The sequence below is a fragment of the Homo sapiens genome, chromosome 6, assembly GCF_000001405.40.
Source record: "Homo sapiens chromosome 6, GRCh38.p14 Primary Assembly".
Taxonomy (NCBI): domain Eukaryota; kingdom Metazoa; phylum Chordata; class Mammalia; order Primates; family Hominidae; genus Homo; species Homo sapiens.
Window position 1 is genome coordinate 103,792,602 of NC_000006.12, and position 8,999 is coordinate 103,801,600.

At 33.2% G+C, this 8,999-nt stretch overlaps 2 annotated features.

Annotated features, from left to right (window-relative positions):
* Positions 4,983-5,484: an enhancer, noted in NCBI's record as "NANOG hESC enhancer chr6:104245459-104245960 (GRCh37/hg19 assembly coordinates)". NCBI's record gives its function as "activates a minimal SCP1, AML or CMV promoter by ChIP-STARR-seq in primed H9 embryonic stem cells {active_cell/tissue: H9 hESC(primed)}" and the evidence as "EXISTENCE:reporter gene assay evidence [ECO:0000049][PMID:30033119]".
* Positions 7,055-7,224: an enhancer, noted in NCBI's record as "experimental_87382 CRE fragment used in MPRA reporter constructs". NCBI's record gives its function as "activates a minimal promoter by MPRAs in K562 erythroleukemia cells, with activity observed for both the introgressed and non-introgressed 6:104247616 variant alleles {active_cell/tissue: K562}" and the evidence as "EXISTENCE:reporter gene assay evidence [ECO:0000049][PMID:34662402]".

Consider the following 8,999-nt stretch of genomic DNA (forward strand, 5'->3'; position numbering starts at 1 on the left):
TAAATGTGTGCCTGTTCTAAATGGTTCTAAATGCTGACACCCGAAAACCTTTTTGCATATATTCACATACGACTATGACTATTTCTGCAGTAATTATTATTGAGACTTACTATAATAATGATAAGGCTGTATATAAATTATACCTTACTAAAAATTTAAAATCTAGGAATTTACTGAGAGAGCATAAAGTATGGTTGTAATAGAGAAAACAAATGATTGAAATGGCGTAAATGCAAGCCTTTAATATTAATTTTGAGTATTTTAATGCAAATAAAACCAATTATGACAGTGTGCTCAAATTGGTAAACAACCAATCTGTGACTTTATGAAAATATATTTATGACAGTCATACTTGCCTTACTCTTAAGTGTAGTATTTGTCCTTAAGTTGGGAGCACCATAAATTAATTTTAAAGCAAAACATATGACCCTCATCCAATGTTTTAAATGAATTGCTTCCTACTAGGAAAACAAAACATCTCAGGACATCAAATACTTCTAGTAATCAAGATGTTTTGTTTAAATTTGCTAATGTAAACTTCAACTCTATTTGGTTGCACTTTAAAAAAGCATACTAGAAAATGGGGAATATTTGAAACATGCATTTTTAAAAGCTAGGTGTTATCTTACTCAGAAGATGTTAAAAGCTTCTTTATACATTTTATTTGAAAGTAATTTCCAAAAAAGGGATGCTTGGTGGGTATATGAAAAGGTGTTCAGTATCACTAATCATCAGGGAAATACATATCAAAACCATAATGGAATATTACCTCACAGCTGTTAGGATGGCTTTTATCAAAAAGACAAAAAATAACAAGTATTAGTGAGACTGTGGAAGAGAAGGAACCCTCACACACCACTGATAGGAATGTATATCAGTATAGGCATTATTAAAAACATTATGGAGATTCTTCAAAAATGTAAAACTAAGAATACTATATAATCAAACAATCCCACTTCTGGGTATATATCCAAAGGAAATGAGATCCATGTATAAAAGAGATATGTACTCTCCCATATCCATTGCAGATTTACTCACAACAGTGAAGATACTGAAACAATATAAATGTTCATTGATGGAAAAGAATACAGCTGGAGGCATCATGCTACCTGACTTCAAACTACACTACAAGGCTACAGTAACCAAAACAGCATGGTACTGGTACCAAAACAGACATATCGACCAATGGAGCAGAACAGAGACCTCAGAAATAAAACAACATGTCTACAACCATTTGATCTTTGACAAACCTGACAAAAACAAGAAATGGGGAAAGGATCTCCTATTCAGTAAATGGTGCTGGGAAAACTGGCTAGCCATATGCAGAAAACTGAAACTGGACCCCTTCCTTACACCTTATATGAAAATTAACTCAAGATGGATTAAAGACTTAAATGTAAAACTGAAAACCATAAAAATCCTGGAAGAAAACCTAGGCAATACCATTCAGGACATAGGGATGGGCAAAGACTTCATGATGAAAACACCAAAAGCAATTGCAACAAAAGCCAAAATTGACAAGTGGGATTTAATTAAATTAAAGAGCTTCTTCACAGCAAAAGAAATAATCATCAGAGTGAACAGGCAACCTACAGAGTGGAAGAAAATTTTTGCAATCTACCCATCTGACAAAGGTCTAATATCCAGAATTTAAAAGGAACTTAAACATATTTACAAGAAAAAAAAAACAACCTTATCAAAACATAGGCAAAGGATATGAATGGACACTTCTCTAAAGAAGACATTTACATGGCCAAAAAATATACGAAAAAAAGCTCGACATCATTGATCATCAGAGAAATGCAAATCAAAACTATAATGAGATATCATCTCATGCTAGTCAGAATGATGATTATTAAAAAGTTAAGAAACAATAGATGCTGGTGAGGCTGTGGAGAAATAGGAATGCTTTTACACTGTTGTTGAGAATATAAATTAGTTTAGCCATTATGAAAGACAGTATGGTATTTCCTCAAGGATCTAGAACTGGAAATACCATTTGACCCAGCAATCCCATTACTGGGTATATATCCAAAGGAATATAAATCATTCTACTATAAAGACACATGCACACATATGTTTACTGCAGCACTATTTACAATAGCAAAGACATGGAACCTACCCAAATGCCCATCAATGATAGACTGAATAAAGAAAATGTGACACATATACACCATGGAATACTTTGCAGCCATAAAAAGGAATGCCATCATGTCTTTTGCAGGGACATGGATGAAGCTGGAAGCCATCATTCTCAGCAAACTAACACAGGAATGGAAAATCAAACACCACATGTTCTTGAAGATTAAGAACACATGGACATAGATGGGGAATAATACACACCAAAGCCTGTTCAGGGGTGAGGGTTGGGGGATGAGGGGAGAGAACTTAGAGTACATGTCAATAAGTGCAGCAAACCACCAATGGCACATGTATACCTATGTAACAAACCTGCACATTCTGCATATGTATCCTGTTTTTTTTTTTTAGAAGAAATAAAGGAAAACAATATTCATTGATGGGTGAATAAAGAAATTGTGGTTTATAAATATATATGTGTTCTGTGTGTGTATGTGTATGTATATATATATTATATAAAATGCAATATATATTATATATAATGCAATATATATATAATTTAATATCATTTGACATTAGAAAAGAAGGATGTCCTGCCTTTCACAACAACATGGATGGATGAACCTGAAGGACATTAGGCTAAATGAAAAAAAGCCAGACACAGAAAGAAAAATACTGTATGATCTCACTTATATACGGAATATAAAATAGTCAAATACACTGAAACAGGTAGTAGAATGTTGGTTGCCAGGAATTTGAAGAGGTGGATAAAATGGAGGCAATGTTGATTAAAGGGTACAAACTTGCAGTTGTAAGTTCTGGGGACCTAAGGAAAAGCATGGTGACTAGTTAATATAAGATTTTATACTTGAAATAGGGCTAAAAGAATAGGTTGTAAGTATTCTCATCATATGCAAAAAAAAAAAAAAAAAGAAAAAAAAACCCTATGGGAGGTAATGGGTAATGTTAATTAGCTTGATCATCGTAATTTTACAAGGTATACATATTTGAAATCATGTTGTACACTTTGAATATATACAATTTTATGTTTCAATTATGCCTCAATAAAGCTGGAAAAAGAATAATTTTAGTCATCTCAGTCACTGAAAATTGACTTTCTTTAATAATCTTAAATCATTACAATAATTATTCAAAACTTACATAGAGAAAATTAATAAACACTTGTAGGTTGTATTAGTCCATTTTCACACTGCTATAAAGAACTGCCCAAGACTGGGTAATTTATAAAGGAAAGAGGTTTAATTGACTCATAACTCACCATGGCTGGGGAGGCCACAGGAAACTTAGAATCATGGCAGAAGGCAAAGGGGAAGCAAGGTGGGAGAGAGTGAAGGGGGAAGAGCTCCTTATACAACCATCAGATCTCGTGAGAACTCACTTACTATCAAGAGAACAGCATGGGTGAAACAGCCCCTGTGAATCAATTACCCCCACCTAGTCTCTCCCTTGATATGTGGGGATTATAGGGATTTTGGAGATTACAATTCAAGATGAGATTTGGGTGGGGACGCAAAGACTAACCATATCATGAGTATACATCTGGGTGGAGATTTTGACTTCCCCTTCGTAACAGGTTTGTGAAGCAGAAAGAGCCGTGGACTTGAAGCCACAACAAATTTGGTTTTCAGTCCTGGTCTGACTCCACCACTTGCCTGCCAGCATGAACTTGACCAAATTCATTTTGATCTTATCTGATCTAATATATGAGGTGCCATGTTTTTAATGCTTTTTTAACCTGGTGTCCATAAAGACAACAGACTAACAGACTGGCAGATGACTACTGGCATAGCAAAGGAGAAAAATAATGCCATCCCACTGACCTGAGCCCTGTCTTCTGCAGGTTTTCCCCCATCCTATCCACAACCTGGGAAAATTCTCCCAATCAAATCTTAAAAATAACTTCAACAACAGACAAGATGGCAATGGTAATTGTTGGTGTTGTGTGTAGCGGGGAGGAGGTTAAGGTAGAATTTAGGTGATCAATATTTCAGAATATAGCATTTTAGGATGATGATATGAGAATGGATTTCTTTAGTCCTATTTTAAGGTGGCTCCTATACGTTACATGCTGACAGAAATAACATATGGGTATTAGAAAAAAAAACACATGTTACATAAGATATATGCTAGAAATATTTGTATTTTTGTAGCTGAGTCTTTGAGAGCAGGAATCCCAGAAGATATTTTACTGTAAAACATTAGCTTTCAATAGATTGGACTTGGACTATTATCAAGGTTTAATTGTATTTTACTAAATATTACTGTAAGCATTTTAATTAATATTATAATTGCAATTACTATGAATTTTCTACATTCTTTATATTAGGTGTATTTGTGAATTAACTCTTTCACCTTTTTACTCGTGATTTTAATAAATAATATTTCAAAAGAATGTGCAATTGAAAGAATGAAAGTTAGTACCCAGTAACAACAGAGATTTGGGGACTGAAACTTATTCCTACTATCTTAGAACTTAGAATTAAAAAAAAAACTTGTTAAATAAGAAGACAAGAGCAACGTATTTTGAGAAAGTCATTAAGTTTGGTTTATTTTGTTTAACAAATACAATGTATGTTCTCTTTAGGCACATTTTAGAGATCCCTATATTGTTTCTGACTTTTAAAAGCTAATTGAAATGCCAAAGATTTGAGCATGAAGCATTAATTTCATTTGACCTTTTAAGAAAAAATTATTCTTGTTTATTTTTCAGAAAATGAATTAGTCTTCTCTACCAATCATGTTAGAATGAGCCAGGTGGCAGATTATTTAATATCTTGCCTTTCACCTCTGGAGACTAGGGTTTAAATGTGGCTTAAGAAAACACCCAGAAGTGATTTGTGTACATCTCAAAACCCTTACAACTGGGCTTAAGCAGCAATCACTTGCAGCTGTAGAGATGCTCGTTCAAAAAAGCATCAGAAATGTCATAGGACCAAATCAGGGGATTTCAATAAAGGTATAAAGGCCACTCAGACAATCCATGTGGGATAAAGCTTATCAAAATAATGAACCTAAACGTCTGGAACTTTCCTAGTCAATGAAAAATAGCAAAGGAGCTTCCTCGGCTTTTTTATTTTTTTATTTTTTTTCTAAAAAAAAAAAAAAACAAGGAGAAACAAAGAAAAATGAGTAGTCTCAAGTAGATCAGATTAAGTGGTAAAAGCATCCCTAAAGATATGCAAATTACATTGGTAAGTGAAAAAAAATAATAGTAAAAAGTATAGCTTACTAGTGCCCTCTAGTGTACCTTCTCTTCTGCTTTTTGTGGAATGTGTGTGTGTTTTTTGTTTTTTGGTTTTTGGTTTTTTTTGTAATGTTTTCTAGAGTGTAAGCAGGGGTTCTAACATAAATAAGTTTTAGAACAAGTGAAAACTAAAAAAAAAAGCTGTAAATTACTTAAAAATTAAATATTAACATTATTGGAAAAGATAAAAACAGCCAAACTAATAATATTATTACGTGTATTTGCGTCAATAAACTAACATCATTGTCAAATTAAAGAAAGACTGAAAGACAGAAAAATGATACCATTTCCCCCTCCTCATGGATAGGCAAAACAGCCTTTTCCCTGAAAAATGTTTTGCTTCCCAGTAACTCTGTTTTGCATCCTAATTGTACCATGTGCCAACAAAACAGATTGTTTGCTAATTGATATCATAAAGCAAGACAGCCCAGTGAAGGATGATAATTCTGACTACGGCTAGCAGCAGCTGATGTAGAGCTTGATAGAAATGCTGTCATTTTCAACACAAACTGCCTACAACTGACTTTTCACTGTAAATATAGAGATGTGACAGAAGCCTCACACACCCACCTTTATTTTAAAAAATGAACAGATAATTCTGCTACAATACTCTTGTTACCAGTTCTAGTTTAGCTTGTAGCATTTTAAAGAAACTAAGTTTAGGGATATCATTCAGTCTCTGTACACAGCACTGGGGGACAAGGTAAAACCTTTCATCTATAGTCTATAGTCAGATGTAGGCTCATGAATAACATGTTTGCTTATGGATTTCTAGAGGAGAATAAAATAGCCAGAGCATGAACTATCTATCTATTGAAAATTCACAAGATGTCAATAAATTAGAATATAAAAAGTATATTTTACTTCAAGTATTTATAAATTCAGCCACAGCATATGTGAATAATGAAAATTATTCTCATATTTCTATGCATCTTTCACAGCAAAAATACAATATTGCTTAATGGGACTTAGCCTGTCAGCACAAAGAGTCCTTAAATAAAGAATTTTTCTATGTGAAAACTGATATTTTTAGGCATTAATAAATGTCTAGGGTGAAATTCAATGTGATTCAGCACAGAGCAGCCTTTTGAATGTAGGTCCCTAAAGAACAATGGCTATGCAATGCAAATAATTTAGGCAATATAAAATGAGAAAATAAAGACATTTGGATAGAGAGGGAATGCTGACATGGGATGTGAAGGCTTTTAGTATAGTTCTCAAGGAGAAATGTTGAAGTAAAGGGGTGATGTACCACATGCCATAGTATACAGCAACCTTTGTTCAAAAGAGTAACTATTTGTGGTTTAAAAAACTGAATTATCTTTTCTAGATATGCACTTTATTATAATCTCTCCTCAACCTAACTCTTCATTTTATTTTTCTGCAGAGTGAAATCTGATGTAAAAATAGGTGCATTAGACTCAGAATGTTTATGGTAGAAGAAAACATCAGAGACCATGTAGTCACCCCACTCCCAGACTCCCATTACTTAACAAGTAAGGAAACTAAGGCACATAGAGGTGAAATCAAATGTGTTTAAAATCACACAGCAAGTCAGTAGCAGAGACAGAAGGAAAATAAATCTCTAATATTTTATCCATAGTTTTTCAAAGTAGCTATTTTTCGTGCAATAAAAAGTCCTTTAAAATGTCGTTAAAATGGCTTAATTTTCTACTTGTTTTTAGCTTTAGTTTCAACAATTTAGTTCTTAAAATGGGCAAAAGAAAAGGGCCAAGGGAACAAACTGCAGAGCGGATTGAAACCCCATCACAATTGATGGCAAATTGTTTTGCAGTCTAAAGTTAATCCTGAAGCAGTAGTTGATGGACTTTTAATTAAGAAACAAACATCTATACATTTGTGAGCCTGTCAATTTACACTTCTAACACTTCTGAGAACCATTAATTGACACAATCTAGGTGTTTGTGAGTAGCTCCACACTTCCATTTATTTTTCTATTTGCTAAAATTCTCTCCTTTTAACCTTAAATTTGTAAAGAAAAATCTGTGAAGATTGTAATTTTATTTATTTTCGCTAAATACAATCTAGCATTATTAATTCAAATGGCTTCTTCCATATATTATTTTAACACTTTACTCAAAGTTTTTGCCTAATCTTCAGACTGTCCTCATCGAATGTCTATCTGGGTCCTGAGGCTGCACGCTCAGATTTCTAAAGTAGGAAGCTGATTTTTTAGCAAACCAGCATATGTCATGGCATCACAGTTGGATCTTTGCCAGTACCAACAACAAACCCAGGAAATTGTTGATCACAGTGTGGCAAATAATACCATGATCACAATGTGGCAAATCACACTGTGGCAAATAATACCGTGACTAAAATCACAGTGTTCACATCTCCCTCTCCTCTCACTAAAGAGCACACTGAGCAGAAGAGAGAAAAAAATGTATGCAGAGTAAAAACAAAAAGGGAGGGAGATTTTGAGTTCCGAGTGTTCAACATCCAATTTCACTTTATGTCAAAGTTATAATCCATGTGACTTTGTTTTCCCTCTCCAGTGAGCATTAGTGCCATTGTGCCATATGCCACTGTTTGGAGCCATGTCTCCCTTAGTTATCCTTTAATTGGCTTGACCTATGGGAAGGATGGCTAGCAACCAAGCTAATTACATAAATCCACTCCAGGCTCTATAATTTTACTATAGACAGCTCTTCTGGGAGAATACAAAGGAAAAAACAATTTATCCAAAGTTTCAAACTTCTTCACATATTTCATATAGCAAAGCATGCGTTTCATAGCATGATAAAAGGTAACAATGATTTGCTTCACTTACAATGTGACTTTAATTTTCTTCCCCCTCACATAGTTAAACACATAATTGATTTTAAATTTTACAAATGTATGAAAATTACTATTTAAACAAAAAGTCAAAATTATAGTTAGAAAACTAATTTTAGGTTGCCAATTTTAATTCAGGCAGTTTTGATGGGGAAAAATATGATGGGATGCTAGAATCTCTTTCAAAGTTAAAATAGTGGGGAAAAAGTTTCCAAAGAAAATCCATTTCATAGTTCTATAAGTATAACTTAATAAAAAGCAATAACACAGAACAGTCACAAATCAGAAAAAAAGGAAAATTGCCCAAATCAATAGATATGGGAGAACTAGTTGAACGTTGTACTTAAGGTTGAAAATCACATGTCTCTTGGGATCCGGACATAATGTGTTTTTTCATTGATACATCTATTATACAAACTTTATAGAATAATGGTTCGATTTTTAATACCTTTAGGACTATTGAATGGTGTCTCTTTGAACTATGAAAATACATAGACCCATTAATTAATTAATGGAATTTGAAGTGTGCATGATATACCTAATTTTGGCAGAATGATATATAATTGTTGAAATATCGAGAAACGCTGTAAACTCTATACATATGTTTCAGAAAAGTATAATTATATTCCATGAATTCATGTATAGCCTTCAAGATCTCTGTTTAAGCAAGTCAAATGGTAGTGACTAAAGGACACTTTTCCACATAATTTATTACTCCAAGTCTTTTTTGAGAAAAAGACAGAAACAACTCTACTAGTGCTGCATTACTTTAAAATAACAAATATTTATTTTCAAAGACATCATACTTATTTATTGCTTCTCTTTAATACTGCTTCAATATTTTGACTAAACATGT